We start from the raw sequence: 16187 nt of genomic DNA, 5'->3' as shown, positions 1-16187 counted from the left end.
ACGTAATCCTTGATCATGATAACAAATAACTGTTACTGGCTTATGTATTTACTATGCTATACTTTTAATCATTTTAGAGTGTAGTTCTTCTACTTAAACAACAACAAAAGTTAATAGTAAAACAGCCTTAGGCAGGTCCTTCAGTAGGTATTCCAGAAGAAGGCTTTGTTATGATAGGAGATGACAGCTCCATGCATGTTTTTGCCCCTGAAGACCTTCCAGTGGGACAAGATGTGGAGGTAGAAGACAGTGATATTGATGATCCTGACCCTGTGCAGGCCTAGGCTAATTTGTGTGTTTGTGTCTTAGTTTTTAAGGAAAATATTTAAAACATTTTTTAAAAAAGAAAATATTTTTTTAAAATAGAAAATGACTTATAAAGGTTTAAAGAAAAGTATTTCTCTGCAGCTATATAATGTGCTTGTTTTAAGCTGTGTTATTACAAAAGTCAAAAAATTTAAGATTTTAAAAGTTATAAAAATATGCGGTAAGTTAAGCTTAATTTATTATTATTATTATTATTGTTTTAAAATTATTTTTTAGGGACAGGGTCACTTTGCCTCCCAGGCTGCAGTGTAGTAGTGTCATTATAGCCCACTGCATCCTTGAACTCCTGGCCTCAAGAGATCCCCTGCCTCAGCATCCTGAGTAGCTAGGACTACAGGCATGTGCCACCACTCTCGGCTAATTTTAATAAATTTTTTAATTAAAATTAAACTTAAGCTATGTTACCCAGGCTGGTCTAAAATTCCTGGCCTCGAGTGATCCTCTTGCCTTGGCTTCCCAAAGTTTTGGGATTACAGTCATGAGCCACCATGCCCAGCCTAATTTATTATTGAAGAAAAAATTTAAAATAAATTTTGTGTAGCCTAAATGTACAGTGTTTATAAAGTCAACAGTAGTGCAGTAAAGTCCTAGGCCTTCAGGTTCACTCACCACTCACTCACTGATTGACCCAGAGCAACTTCCAGGCCTGTAAGCTCCATTCTTGGAGCTTATACACTTTATACAGGGTACCATTTTAAATCGTTTATACCAGATTTTTACTTTACCTTTTCTATGTTTAGACATGTTAGATATGTTTAGCTATGCAAATACTTATTGTGTCACAGTTGCTTACAGTATTCAGTACAGTCACATGTTGTACAGGTTTGTAGCCTAGGAGCAATAGGCTATACCTTATAGCCTACATGTGTGGTAGGCTATACCATCTAGGTTTGTGTAAGTACACTTCACATAATGATTAAATTGCCAAAGTTATGCATGGCTATAATTAATTATTTTATTTCCTCATTTAGTGGTCATTCAGTACTTAAGTATAAGTACTGAAAAGTGTAGTTTTAACATATTTATTTCAAAAATATGTTTTTCTGGCTAGGCACGGTGGCTCACACCTATAAGCCCAGCACTTTAGGAAGTCAAGGCGGGCAGATCGCTTGAGGTCAGGAGTTTGAGACCAGCCTGGCCAACATGGCGCAACCCCATCTCTACTAAAAATACAAATGTAGCCAGGTGTGGTTGCAGGTACCTGTAATTCCAGCTACTTGGGAGGCTGAGGTGTGAGAATTGCTTGAACCTGGAAGGTGGAGGGTGCCAGGAGCTGCAATCATGCCATTGCATTCCAGCCTGGGCGACAGAGCAAGATTCTTTTTCAAAAAAATAAAAAAAGTAAAATTAAAAAATGCTTTTCTTCATAAAACCAGTATTTTAAATGGTATTAATATATATTAGCCATCGTGTAGAAGATATATAAATATGCATGAACAATATGGATGGTAATTAGTGATTAAGGCCCTACTACCTTGTGAACATATTTTATATTTTACCCTTGATCTTCTTGTTTTCAATCAATTCACCTTTTTTTCTTCTCAAGTATGTACATTGTACTCTGTGATCACCCACACATGAGGGGTGACATGTTAACTAATCTTTTAATGTATTGCTCCAAATATCTTCATCATTGAGATTTGTGGTAGCAGGAAGCATAATGGAACAACTCTTAGTTATCATTATTTTGTTGATGTTTCAAGAGTTTCTTTATTAACCTTTGTGTTAAGTTGTGGGGTTTAGTAATTACATATCATTGTGCTAGGAAAACATGCCTTGCTTAATTATTAAATCAAATATCCTTTAGAGAAAGGTGTTTTAACCATGTGTTCTCACTCATAAGTGGAGTTGAACAATGAAAACACATAGACACAGGGAGGGGAACATCACACACCGAGGCCTGTTGGGGGCTGGGGGGCTGGGGGAGGGATAGTGTTAGGAGAAATACCTAATGTAAATTACGAGTTGCTGGGTGCAGCAAAGCAACTGGCACATGTATACCTATGTAACAAACCTGCACTTTATGCACATGTACCCTAGAACTTAAAGTATAGTAATTAAAAAAAAGAAAAAGAAAAAGGTGTTTAAAAGATGTATAGGCCGTATATTTTGTACCAGTGTAATCATTCACTGTGTTGTTTAAGCAAATAAGCTAGTTTAAGCTTATAATGAGTTTTTAATTTATAGAGAAACGAATCAGTAGGGCAAAGAAAGGTGCAAAATCTTGGAAGAATTTGCCTTGTATAATAATGGAAGACTCACATGAGTAAAATCCCTACTGAACTAGCTTTTGTTGGACTAAAGAATGCAATTATATTAAAAATTAATACTTCAGTCTAATACAAATCCAATGCTGCCTGAATTATTATGTGCCAAATTAGGTTGCTATAAACAATAACAAAATGGGTGATTGTGTAAATGAAAGCATGGAGTTATTTAAACTTGCAATTGCATGTTTAATGAGATGCATTGAAAGCGGAAAATGTTTAATTTAGTAACGGGTGACCTGAATCAGTCTGTCCTACAGAATGATAGGCTTTTGGACTAATTTTCAGTTAAAACACAGTAATTGAATAACACCCCTATTAATATGTAATATGGACTATTTCATATTATTCATTTTTATTAAGATGGCTCTTTTAGTATGACAGCTGTCAGTTGGAATTATTATGAGTTCTGTGTGAAACACTACCAACCAAGTTAAGCCTTTGTTGGATTTTTCTCTTTTAGAATCTGAGAAAACTTGTTGTTATCTTCTGGTTAGATTATATTAAGATCATAACCTGATAAATGTGAAAGAGAAAAACTTGGGCTGTGGCATTTGGCTGGAATATAATTGTGTAGGTCTACTCTACTTTTATTTATTGTAGGTAGTTTAAGGTGCTTACTTAGAAAAATGATGGACTCATCATCTTTAGAAAGATCTCTGGAGTTGATTATCTACCCAGATGTTATTTAGTCAAGTACCTGAAACTGCTTCTTGCCTTTGCGTTTTTTGTCTTTTAGAGTCAATACAATTCAGGTATTGTGAAAATGTTTTTTCTCAGAGGGTGTGAATTCACAGTATATGATAATTTAATGTGTCAGTTCAGGGCAGAGAGTTAAATTATTGAAGAGCCACCTTGATTCCCTTTGGGGTACTCAATCTTATGATTATCCTGTGGTACAGAAAAACCCTTTTACTCGATTTAAAAGAACTTTTCTCTCTAGGCAGCATGGTCCTCTATGAACAATGGACATATAGTGAAAATCTGTGGTGAGAATGAGAAGCTGCAAGCATCTTTTAACAATGAAACTGCTTATTTGTAAATGTGGAGTACAGTTTACTGTGTTAATCCTTCTTCAATGAGATATTTCACTGACATATTCTATTCATTTGGAGTTGGTTTCCAAATTGAATTAGAAGAAGAAAATGACATGTATTATCTTACACAGTGAACCACAGTTATCAGTGTTATATGTAGAAAATAATGTTAGATTTAAACATTATTTTTCAAATAAAAAATTGTTATAGTTCATATGTACATCATTTGCAGATCTAGAACTTGAAATCTGTTTGGTTTAAAAGCAAAACAAAGTTTAACCTTTATGTATGCCATTTTGTAACTGTGTAACTTTGGTAAATAAATGTTTTTGTATGAATAAACCTAATTAGCATAGCACTTTAAAACAAGGAAAAAGAACATTTTTTTAAAATGGGCTTGCTAGAATACTATCTAAATCAAACAACTAATCTTTTGTTTTAAATAAAAATACTTCCCAAAGAAATAATATACAATGTATAGTATAAATCTCTATGCTTCATTTTAATTTTTTGAGAGATAATTATGATTTATTGTTTGGAATAAACTGCTCATTAAATATCTTTGAAAAGTTTTTTAAAAAGCATTTGTTGTTTCCAGAAACATTCCTTGGTAATTACAGCTTTGAACAATAGAATACAGACAAAACTACTATGTGGGAGTTATTATCTGGTTAGAAGCATTGTATAGATAGATAACCTTTTCTTGGAAAGAATTATAAAGCTTTTGGTTTGGACAATAGTTATTAAAGGACACTGTACTCTGAGTGTTCCAAGAAAGCTTGTGTTAACTAAAGCATGAGATTTGGAAAGAGTAGACCTCAGTTCAAGTCCTGACTCATCTATCCCTAGCTCTTTTATCTTTCAGATCCTGGATGGCCCAGTCACCTTTCCTGAACTTCATTTTCCTCTTCTGTAAACTTGTGACATAATGTGTAACTTACAGGATTTTATTAGGGTAAAATGATACATGCATATGAAAGTTTAAAATTTTAAACTATAATAATTATAGTCTAATTCATTCTCTTATTATAGTGTATAATTAACAAAAACTTCCACTTGTTACTAGGTGGAGCTTCTCTGTAAAAAAAAATACTATAATGAATCATTTTAAGTGGAGCATGTTTTTGTAAAATGGATGATCATCACCCTCCTTTCTCTCACTACCTCTCCCACCATTCTTTTGTTTCACATATTTTATACTGTGAAATTTTCAAATTGCAGCTGTCAATGTTGTGCTTGTGATGTATTTGAGAATGCATTCTATCCTCATGGAAAAGAACACATTCAATTTGAACTTCAAGTTTGTTAGTTTTCTTTAATTATGATATTTGCAGTCATTCTTAGAAGAGATATTTGTCTCCAAGGATTGGTGCACAGTTTGATTTCTGTGGGAAGATATGCTTTAAAATATGTATCGGTGGGGGTTGTTAAAATAGTGGGATTGGGGTGGAGGTGGAATTGCTATTTAACTGGCAGTTTCATCAGTATAGAAAACCTTGATGTATTCATGTAGATTATAGATTAAAAATTTAAAGTAGTTATATTTGGTTATAGGATCGTGGATAATTAAACATTTTTCTGCATTATGTTAATTACATTTGAGAGTTACATATATGTTTGCTATGCAAAAGTTAATGTTGATAAAGAGCTGAAGATTTTTCCCAGAAACAATATACAGTTGACCTTTGAACAACACAGGTTGGAACTGCACAGTTATATGTGGCTTTGTTTTCAACTAGACATGGATTTGAGGGATACAAAACTTGTGTTACAGAGGGCTGACTTTTTTTATATGAGGGTTCTGCAGGACGACTCTGGGACTTATGTTGTGCAGATTTAGTTATATGTGGGTGGTCCTGGAACCAATCTCTCATGTATACAGAGGGACAACTATACATGCTAAATAAGCACATATATGTGACTTGATTTTTTTCTTTTTACTTATAAAATGTTAATACATTGGGTTCATCAATTACCCAATAAACTAGGTATCAGATATTCTGACAGTCTGCCCCAGATTTAAAACAGCACTTTGAGTACAATATTAGGTAGCGAAATATCCTATTTCAGAGAGTTTTCATCCATGAAATAGCATTTTTGTGTTCATTTCTGTTTAACAGATGAGAGATTGATAGGTGAAAACAAAAATGTTCCATATTTGTTATTGCTCATATTTGTAAACTTTCCCCTTTGCAGATTTGCATATATTCAAAGACTTTTAGGATCATTCCAGAGTTTTTAGGATCATTCCAGAGTGCTTAGGATCATTCATTTTACTTTGAAATCAGTAAGAACAAAACAAAACAAAACAAAACAAAAGACAAGAAACAGACAAGCAACTTTACATTTTAAGTCTTTTCTCTATCATTCATAGCCACCAAAGCAGAGTTTTTAAAGCCTTTATCACTCAGAAATCTCATTCAGCGAGGGTGTTTTGGGGAAAAAAATGCTTAGCTCAAATAAGAGGTAACTTGATGCACAAATTTTATTTCTTAGTGAATTGGTTTTAAATGGCCTTGCACTATGTGGAGTTAGATAATTTCCATAAATATTATGTTTGGCACTTCAGTGCTTTGAAAAAGCACATTTATATAGTTGTCGTTATTGAACAATCAGTATGTTTCACCTAAGAATTCTGATATCTGGATTTGTTTAAATGTTAGATCATGCCACGCTGGCCTCACACCTCTTCCTGGCCATGGTTTTCTGGGGCTCTTCAGTTACTTTCATTACTTGCCTGGCTTTTTGTAGGCGTTTGACTTTGGCCTAAATAATTCTCTGACTTTAGATCAAGTTCTATGTGGCAGTCTTTGAGAGCCTTAACACATATTGATACATATTTTGTGATTTGGTAGCAAATCTTGACCTCAATTAGTTTGCATGTTCTTTCTGCAACACACACCTTATACTCTCCTGATTAAAACACTTAGAGGAATTTCCTCCTCAGACCATTGGTGTTACTTTTCATGAGCTCAGCCTTGCCTCCCTCTCAAGACTTTTATTTTCTGGCAGTCTTCACAGCCAAATAGAATCATATGCAGCCTCCTTTCACCTCTGAGCCTTGTATGTCATGTTACCTGAAATTCCTTCCCACCCTGGTTTGTCTGGTTTACAGATCCTCTACCTCTTCCCTGACAGCCCTCCCTAATGCTCACTCTTCTGAGGCATGCACATCCCTCCCAAATGTCAGCTCCTTGAGTCCTGGCAGCTACTGTCTTTTGCTCTGCTGTACACTTAACACTGCACCTGTGAGTATTCACCCAGTAAATAGCCATTATGGACATTTTTTGTGTTCATCATTGATATAATTCTCTGATAACACTGAAGTTTTAGTAGTTTGTGTTTGGAGAAATATTTAATTTTAATGGAGGAATAACAGATGTTCTCCCCCTTAAATACTCCAGGTGAGACCTTTATCATGTTAAATTTTATTGGCTTACAATAAGTCTTTTCCATATTTCATTTCTCACCATATTTTATATTTATGATAAAGTTGGAAACACTTGTAGAAATTAGAAGAAGCGTAGGCAATATTGGTAAAATCTATGAACATTTTATAACTCTAATGCCATTTTTACTTTTAAACAAATAATTTGATATAGATACAAACAGAGTCATAGTTCTTATAAATTACATTACTCTTATAAATGACATTGTCAGTTTTGGAACCATGTAACTTTTAAATGTAATGTTGAGTAAAACTCTAAGGTTTTAGAATATGCAATAGAAAATGTCATTTTCTAATGTTTGGGTCTTGAAAATCAAGTTCATGCCTCTGAAACAATATCAAAAGATATGTTTGCATAATTATTTGCATATTATGCCAGTGTTACTAACCTTAAGTAGATTCTTCACAAGTTCTCAAAAATAGAATTTTAATTTAAATGCTCAAGGACCCCGATTTAGTGTTGGCTTCAAACCTAATGCAGTCTTGGAGCCACGTATTATTCATCAGAGGCTGGTATTCTTTTTCTCCTCTGCTTCCCATTCCAAATTATTCCTTGTCACATTTCCTTTTTCCAATCACATTGTCCAGTAGACTTTCTCTTCTCCAATCATATGACAGCTATTTAAATTATACTTATGACAATATTTAGGGTACTTGTTTATCTGCCATAATAATTTGTATCTGTTGAATCCATTTTCCAGGTCTCGTTTTATACTGCCTAATTCAGAACTTTTTCCATTGGCATATTTCTAATAGATTACTCCAATACACACTTAAACATTTGTGTGGGTGCTTGCATGTGCATGCTACGTACATACACTTTGAGTTTGTTTCCGCTTGTTGGTTGATGATGCCTACATTTCATACATACCATCAGCTGAATACTCCATGCATCATTTGAAATCACTCAAAAGGGAAGGTATCCTGCATGTGAACTTTGAAAAGAAGGGGACTTTTTTTTTTTTATGCTCCCAAATGACCTATTTTGAGAAGTGATGATTTGGTAATATTCAGAGAAATGCTTTCTTTTTACTTGGTTAAAGCAAAATCTGTTTCTTTTTTTCTGTTCATGTCAATTTTCAGTGACATGAGAATTTTTTTTCAGGAGAGAGTTTATTAGGTAAACCTTTAGACAAGTTTAATATTAGGGAATAAAACTCGTGAAGATAGAGGTGACACAATGACATTATGTTTTTTTCCCCCTCAACTTTTATTTTTAGTTCTGGGGGGTGTGCAGTTTGTTACATAGATAAATGTGTGCCATGATGGTTTGCTGCACAGATAAACCCATCACCCAGGTATTAGGCCCAGCATCCATTAGCTATTCTTCTGATACTCTCCCTCCCCCATCCTCATCAATGGGCCCCAGTTCGTGGTATTCCCCTCCCTGTGTTCATGTGTTCTCATCATTCAGCTCCCATTTATAAATAAGAACACGTGGTGTTTGGTTTTCTGTTCCTGTGTTAGTTTGCTAAGGATAACTGCTTCCAGCTCCATCCATGTCCCTGCAAAGGAAATTATGTTTTTCCTTTTTATGGCTGCATAGTATTCCATGTACCACATTTTCTTTATCCAGTCTGTCATTGATGGGCATTTGGGCTGATGCCATGTTTTTGCTGTTGTGAATAGTGCTGCATGGAACATATGTGCGCAAGTATCTTTATAATAGAATGATTTATAATCCTTTGGGTATATACCCAGTAATGGGATTGCTGGGTCAAATGGTACAAATGGTATTTCTGCCTCTAGGTCTTTGAGGAATTGCCACACTATTTTTCACAATGGTTGAAATAATTTACACCCCCATAAACAGTGTAAAAGTGTTTTCTCTGCAATCTGGCCATCATTTGTTGTTTCTTGACTTTTTAATAATCACCATTCTGACTGGAGTAAGATGGTATCTCATTGTGATTTTGATTTTTATTTCTCTAATGATGAGTGATGTTGAGCTTTTTTCATATGTTTACTGGCTCTATGAATGTCTTCTTTTGAGAAGTGTCTGTTCATGTCCTTTGCCAACTTTTAAATGGGGTTGTTTGTTTCCTGTAAATTTGTTTGTTTCTTGTAGACTCTGAATATTAGACCTTTGTCGGATGGATAGATTGCAGAAATTTTCTCTCATTCTATAGGTTGTCTGTTCAGTCTGATAATAGTTTCTTTTGCTATGCAGAAGTTCTGTAGATGATTAGATCCCATTTGTCAATTTATGCTTTTGTTGCTGTGGCTTTTGGTGTTTTTGTCATAAACTCTTTGCCTTTGCCTATGTCCTGAATGATAATAGCCTAGATTTTCTTCTAGGGTTTTTATAATTTTGGGTTTTACATTTAAGTCTTTAATCCATCTTGAGTTACCTTTTGTATAAGGTATAAGGAAGGGGTCCAGTTTTAATTTTCTGCATATGGCTAGCCAGTTTTCCCAGCACCATTTATTAAATAGGGAATCCTTTCCCCATTGCTTGTTTTTGTCAGGTTTGTAAAAAATCAGATGGTTGTAGACGTGCAGTCTTATTTGTGAGTTCCCTATTCTGTTCCATTGGTCTATGTCTCTGTTTTTGTACCAGTATCATGCCGTTTTGGTTACTGTGTAGCCTTGTATAGTTTGAAGTCAGGTAGTGTGATACCTCCAGCTTTGTTCTTTTTGCTTAGGATTGTTGTGGCTATTCAGGCTCCTTTTGGGTTTCATATGAATTTTAAAATAGTTTCTTCTAATTCTGTGAAAAACGTCAATGGTCGTTTAGTGGGAACAACATTGAATCTATAAATTACTTTGGGGAGTATGGCCATTTTCTTGGTATTGATTCTTCCTATCCATGAGCATGGAATGTTTTTCCATTTATTTGTGTCCTTTGATTTCTTGGAGCAGTGGTTTGTAGTTCTCCTTGAAGAGGTCCTTCACTTTTCTTGTTAGCTGTATTCCTAGGTATTTTATTCTCTTTGTAGGAATTGTGAATGGGAGTTCATTCATAATTCACCACTCCGCTTTTCTGTTGTTGGTGTATAGGAACGTTAGCGATTTTTGCACATTGATTTTGTATCCTGAGACTTTGCTGAAATTGCTTATCAGCTTAAGGAGCTTTTGGGCTGAGACGGTGGGGTTTTCTAGATACAGGATTATGTCATCTGCAAACAAAGATAATTTGACTTCTTCTCTTCCTGTTTGAATATCCTTTATTTCTTTCTCTTGCCTGATTGCCCTGGCCAGAACTTCCAATACTGTGTTGAACGGGAATGTTGAAAGAGGTCATCCTTGTCTTGTTTTCAAAGGAAATGCTTCTAACTTTTGCCCATTCAGTATCATATTGGCTGTGGATTTATCATATATGGCTCTGGTTATTTTGAGGTATGCTCTTTCAATACCTAGTTTATTGAGAGTTTTTAACATGAAGGGATGTTGAATTTTACCAAAGGCCTTTTCTGGGTCTGTTGAGATAATCATGTGTTTTTTGCCTTTAGTTCTGTTTATGTGATGAATTACAAATATGACTTTCTCTTCTAAATGGATAGTTTTCTTTCCTTATAAGCAGTTTGTAAATATTTAGTTAAAGCAACAAGAGGGGGAGGAGCCAAGATGGCCGAATAGGAACAGCTCCGGTCTACAGCTCCCAGCGTGAGCGACGCAGAAGACGGTGATTTCTGCATTTCCATCTGAGGTACCGGGTTCATCTCACTAGGGAGTGCCAGACAGTGGGCGCAGGCCAGTGTGTGTGCGCACCGTGCGCGAGCCGAAGCAGGGCGAGGCATTGCCTCACCTGGGAAGCGCAAGGGGTCAGGGAGTTCCCTTTCCGAGTCAAAGAAAGGGGTGATGGATGCACCTGGAAAATCGGGTCACTCCCACCCGAATATTGCGCTTTTCAGACCGGCTTAAGAAACGGCGCACCACGAGACTATATCCCACACCTGGCTCGGAGGGTCCTACGCCCACGGAATCTCGCTGATTGCTAGCACAGCAGTCTGAGATCAAACTGCAAGGCGGCAACGAGGCTGGGGGAGGGGCACCCGCCATTGCCCAGGCTTGCTTAGGTAAACAAAGCAGCCGGGAAGCTCGAACTGGGTGGAGCCCACCACAGCTCAAGGAGGCCTGCCTGCCTCTGTAGGCTCCACCTCTGGGGGCAGGGCACAGACAAACAAAAAGACAGCAGTAACCTCTGCAGACTTAAGTGTCCCTGTCTGACAGCTTTGAAGAGAGCAGTGGTTCTCCCAGCACGCAGCTGGAGATCTGAGAACGGGCAGACTGCCTCCTCAAGTGGGTCCCTGACTCCTGACCCCCGAGCAGCCTAACTGGGAGGCACCCCCCAGCAGGGGCACACTGACATCTCACACGGCAGGGTATTCCAACAGACCTGCAGCTGAGGGTCCTGTCTGTTAGAAGGAAAACTAACAACCAGAAAGGACATCTACACCGAAAACCCATCTGTACATCACCATCATCAAAGACCAAAAGTAGATAAAACCACAAAGATGGGGAAAAAACAGAACAGAAAAACTGGAAACTCTAAAACGCAGAGCGCCTCTCCTCCTCCAAAGGAACGCAGTTCCTCACCAGCAACAGAACAAAGCTGGATGGAGAATGATTTTGACGAGCTGAGAGAAGAAGGCTTCAGACGATCAAATTACTCTGAGCTACGGGAGGACATTCAAACCAAAGGCAAAGAAGTTGAAAACTTTGAAAAAAATTTAGAAGAATGTATAACTAGAATAACCAATACAGAGAAGTGCTTAAAGGAGCTGATGGAGCTGAAAACCAAGGCTCGAGAACTACGTGAAGAATGCAGAAGCCTCAGGAGCCGATGCGATCAACTGGAAGAAAGGGTATCAGCAATGGAAGATGAAATGAATGAAATGAAGCGAGAAGGGAAGTTTAGAGAAAAAAGAATAAAAAGAAATGAGCAAAGCCTCCAAGAAATATGGGACTATGTGAAAAGACCAAATCTACGTCTGATTGGTGTACCTGAAAGTGATGTGGAGAATGGAACCAAGTTGGAAAACACTCTGCAGGATATTATCCAGGAGAACTTCCCCAATCTAGCAAGGCAGGCCAACGTTCAGATTCAGGAAATACAGAGAACACCACAAAGATACTCCTCGAGAAGAGCAACTCCAAGACACATAATTGTCAGATTCACCAAAGTTGAAATGAAGGAAAAAATGTTAAGGGCAGCCAGAGAGAAAGGTCGGGTTACCCTCAAAGGAAAGCCCATCAGACTAACAGCGGATCTCTCGGCAGAAACCCTACAAGCCAGAAGAGAGTGGGGGCCAATATTCAACATTCTTAAAGAAAAGAATTTTCAACCCAGAATTTCATATCCAGCCAAACTAAGCTTCATAAGTGAAGGAGAAATAAAATACTTTATAGACAAGCAAATGTTGAGAGATTTTGTCACCACCAGGCCTGCCCTAAAAGAGCTCCTGAAGGAAGCGCTAAACATGGAAAGGAACAACCGGTACCAGCCGCTGCAAAATCATGCCAAAATGTAAAGACCATCGAGACTAGGAAGAAACTGCATCAACTAATGAGCAAAATCACCAGCTAACATCATAATGACAGGATCAAATTCACACATAACAATATTAACTTTAAATATAAATGGACTAAATTCTGCAATTAAAAGACACAGACTGGCAAGTTGGATAAAGAGTCAAGACCCATCAGTGTGCTGTATTCAGGAAATCCATCTCACGTGCAGAGACACACATAGGCTCAAAATAAAAGGATGGAGGAAGATCTACCAAGCCAATGGAAAACAAAAAAAGGCAGGGGTTGCAATCCTAGTCTCTGATAAAACAGACTTTAAACCAACAAAGATCAAAAGAGACAAAGAAGGCCATTACATAATGGTAAAGGGATCAATTCAACAAGAGGAGCTAACTATCCTAAATATTTATGCACCCAATACAGGAGCACCCAGATTCATAAAGCAAGTCCTGAGTGACCTACAAAGAGACTTAGACTCCCACACATTAATAATGGGAGACTTTAACACCCCACTGTCAACATTAGACAGATCAACGAGACAGAAAGTCAACAAGGATACCCAGGAATTGAACTCAGCTCTGCACCAAGCAGACCTAATAGACATCTACAGAACTCTCCACCCCAAATCAACAGAATATACATTTTTTTCAGCACCACACCACACCTATTCCAAAATTGACCACATAGTTGGAAGTAAAGCTCTCCTCAGCAAATGTAAAAGAACAGAAATTATAACAAACTATCTCTCAGACCACAGTGCAATCAAACTAGAACTCAGGATTAAGAATCTCACTCAAAGCCGCTCAACTACATGGAAACTGAACAACCTGCTCCTGAATGACTACTGGGTACATAACGAAATGAAGGCAGAAATAAAGATGTTCTTTGAAACCAACGAGAACAAAGACACCACATACCAGAATCTCTGGGACGCATTCAAAGCAGTGTGTAGAGGGAAATTTATAGCACTAAATGCCTACAAGAGAAAGCAGGAAAGATCCAAAATTGACACCCTAACATCACAATTAAAAGAACTAGAAAAGCAAGAGCAAACACATTCAAAAGCTAGCAGAAGGCAAGAAATAACTAAAATCAGAGCAGAACTGAAGGAAATAGAGACACAAAAAACCCTTCAAAAAATCAATGAATCCAGGAGCTGGTTTTTTGAAAGGATCAACAAAATTGATAGACCGCTAGCAAGACTAATAAAGAAAAAAAGAGAGAAGAATCAAATAGACACAATAAAAAATGATAAAGGGGATATCACCACCGATCCCACAGAAATACAAACTACCATCAGAGAATACTACAAACACCTCTACGCAAATAAACTAGAAAATCTAGAAGAAATGGATACATTCCTCGACACATACACTCTCCCAAGACTAAACCGGGAAGAAGTTGAATCTCTGAATAGACCAATAACAGGCTCTGAAATTGTGGCAATAATCAATAGTTTACCAACCAAAAAGAGTCCAGGACCAGATGGATTCACAGCCGAATTCTACCAGAGGTACATGGAGGAACTGGTACCATTCCTTCTGAAACTATTCCAATCAATAGAAAAAGAGGGAATCCTCCCTATCTCATTTTATGAGGCCAGCATCATTCTGATACCAAAGCCGGGCAGAGACACAACAAAAAAAGAGAATTTTAGACCAATATCCTTGATGAACATTGATGCAAAAATCCTCAATAAAATACTGGCAAACCGAATCCAGCAGCACATCAAAAAGCTTATCCACCATGATCAAGTGGGCTTCATCCCTGGGATGCAAGGCTGGTTCAATATACGCAAATCAATAAATGTAATCCAGCATATAAACAGAGCCAAAGACAAAAACCACATGATTATCTCAATAGATGCAGAAAAAGCCTTTGACAAAATTCAACAACCCTTCATGCTAAAAACTCTCAATAAATTAGGTATTGATGGGACGTATTTCAAAATAATAAGAGCTATCTATGACAAACCCACAGCCAATATCATACTGAATGGGCAAAAACTGGAAGCATTCCCTTTGAAAACCGGCACAAGACAGGGATGCCCTCTCTCACCACTCCTATTCAACATAGTGTTGGAAGTTCTGGCCAGGGCAATCAGGCAGGAGAAGGAAATAAAGGGTATTCAATTAGGAAAAGAGGAAGTCAAATTGTCCCTGTTTGCAGACGACATGATTGTTTATCTAGAAAACCCCATCGTCTCAGCCCAAAATCTCCTTAAGCTGATAAGCAACTTCAGCAAAGTCTCAGGATACAAAATCAATGTACAAAAATCACAAGCATTCTTATACACCAACAACAGACAAACAGAGAGCCAAATCATGGGTGAACTCCCATTCACAATTGCTTCAAAGAGAATAAAATACCTAGGAATCCAACTTACAAGGGATGTGAAGCACCTCTTCAAGGAGAACTACAAACCACTGCTCAAGGAAATAAAAGAGGACACAAACAAATGGAAGAACATTCCATGCTCATGGGTAGGAAGAATCAATATCGTGAAAATGGCCATACTGCCCAAGGTAATTTACAGATTCAATGCCATCCCCATCAAGCTACCAATGACTTTCTTCACAGAATTGGAAAAAACTACTTTAAAGTTCATATGGAACCAAAAAAGAGCCCGCATTGCCAAGTCAATCCTAAGCCAAAAGAACAAAGCTGGAGGCATCACACTACCTGACTTCAAACTATACTACAAGGCTACAGTAACCAAAACAGCATGGTACTGGTACCAAAACAGAGATATAGATCAATGGAACAGAACAGAGCCCTCAGAAATAATGCCGCATATCTACAACTATCTGATCTTTGACAAACCTGAGAAAAACAAGCAATGGGGAAAGGATTCCCTATTTAATAAACGGTGCTGGGAAAACTGGCTAGCCATATGTAGAAAGCTGAAACTGGATCCTTTCCTTACACCTTACACAAAAATCAATTCAAGATGGATTAAAGATTTAAACGTTAAACCTAAAACCATAAAAACCCTAGAAGAAAACCTAGGCATTACCATTCAGGACATAGGCGTGGGCAAGGACTTCATGTCCAAAACACCAAAAGCAATGGCAACAAAAGCCAAAATTGACAAATGGGATCTAATTAAACTAAAGAGCTTCTGCACAGCAAAAGAAACTACCATCAGAGTGAACAGGCAACCTACAACATGGGAGAAAATTTTCGCAACCTACTCATCTGACAAAGGGCTAATATCCAGAATCTACAATGAACTCAAACAAATTTACAAGAAAAAAACAAACAACCCCATCAAAAAGTGGGCGAAGGACATGAACAGACACTTCTCAAAAGAAGACATTTATGCAGCCAAAAAACACATGAAGAAATGCTCATCATCACTGGCCATCAGAGAAATGCAAATCAAAACCACTATGAGATATCATCTCACACCAGTTAGAATGGCAATCATTAAAAAGTCAGGAAACAACAGGTGCTGGAGAGGATGTGGAGAAATAGGAACACTTTTACACTGTTGGTGGGACTGTAAACTAGTTCAACCATTGTGGAAGTCAGTGTGGCGATTCCTCAGGGATCTAGAACTAGAAATACCATTTGACCCAGCCATCCCATTACTGGGTATATACCCAAATGAGTATAAATCATGCTGCTATAAAG

At 37.3% G+C, this 16187-nt stretch overlaps 1 protein-coding gene across 25 annotated transcripts in view; it reads left to right on the top strand.

Annotated features, from left to right (window-relative positions):
* The window catches only part of IMMP2L (inner mitochondrial membrane peptidase subunit 2), an 899849-nt gene that overhangs the window by 302315 nt on the left and 581347 nt on the right, over positions 1-16187 (top strand). The window lies entirely within an intron of this gene.

Source organism: Homo sapiens, chromosome 7 (genome assembly GCF_000001405.40).
Source record: "Homo sapiens chromosome 7, GRCh38.p14 Primary Assembly".
Classification (NCBI taxonomy): domain Eukaryota; kingdom Metazoa; phylum Chordata; class Mammalia; order Primates; family Hominidae; genus Homo; species Homo sapiens.
Note: the sequence above shows the minus strand (reverse complement) of the source record. Positions and strands in the feature narration are given on the sequence as shown.